We start from the raw sequence: 1,063 nt of genomic DNA, 5'->3' as shown, positions 1-1,063 counted from the left end.
TTGCAGTGAGCAGAGATGGCTCCACTGCATTCCAGCATGGGCGACAGAGCAAGATGCTGTCTCAAAAAAAAAAGAAAAAGTAAAAGTTATGTGTCATTATTATGATTTTATCTACACACAGTGTAAAAGGGAGAAATGAAACCAAAACTCAAACCCAAATCATGGTCTTATCTTCTTGACATTTGAAAGTTTGATACCTTGAGTTGATTTTTTTTTCTAAATTTAGTATTCCTTACATTTATTATTATATATAAAGCACACTACACCCTAAGACATAGCTGAGCATGGTCCAGTTGCTTACAGAAGGATGGAAAAGCATCAGGAGTGGTGGCTCACCCCTGTAATATCAACACTTTGGGAGGCCAAGGTGGGCAGATCACCTGAGGTCAGGAGTTAAAGACTATCCTGGTCAACATGGTGAAACTCCGTTGCTACTAAAAATACAAAAACTAGCCGGGGGTGGTGGTGCATACCTGTAATCCCAGCTACTCATGGGGCTGAGGCAGGAGAATCGCTTGAACCCAGGAGGCAGAGGTTGCAGTGAGCTGAGATAGCGCTACTGCACTCCAGCCTGGGTGACAGAGTGAGATTCTGTCAAAAAACAAACAAACATAAACAGGTATGGAAAAGCAATCCAAGGCTGAAATCCGGGAATTTCCCTCAAGGTAATGTGTCCTTTCTGAGCTCCAAGGGCTTGAATAGGCAGTTTCCTTTAGCTTTTAGAATATCCACTATTCAGTCCAATCCTGTGTGTTCTTTAACACTCAATTCAGATGTCAGTTTCCCCAGCTTGTATACTATCTGCCTAACTAAATTAACAGCTGGGTCTTATCCATCTTTGTGCTCATTTGGTTTCTGTTTTGTTATTTGTCAAAAAAAATTTGTGAACTAAAAAGTTTATCCATCTTGGATAGTAAAATTGGCAGGAAATCAGACTTAGGTACAGAAGCTGAAAGTAAGCCTAGTGTGGGAGATAGAGGATAACCAAAAACAAACAAAAAACAACAACAAAAACCATTCTTTTGATTCATGATACTACCATTTGTTCAGTCATCCATCCCTC

The sequence above is a fragment of the Homo sapiens genome, chromosome 13 (assembly GCF_000001405.40).
Source record: "Homo sapiens chromosome 13, GRCh38.p14 Primary Assembly".
In the NCBI taxonomy this organism is placed as follows: domain Eukaryota; kingdom Metazoa; phylum Chordata; class Mammalia; order Primates; family Hominidae; genus Homo; species Homo sapiens.
The sequence above is the reverse complement of the archived record's forward strand: the minus strand, read 5'-3'. Positions refer to the sequence as shown.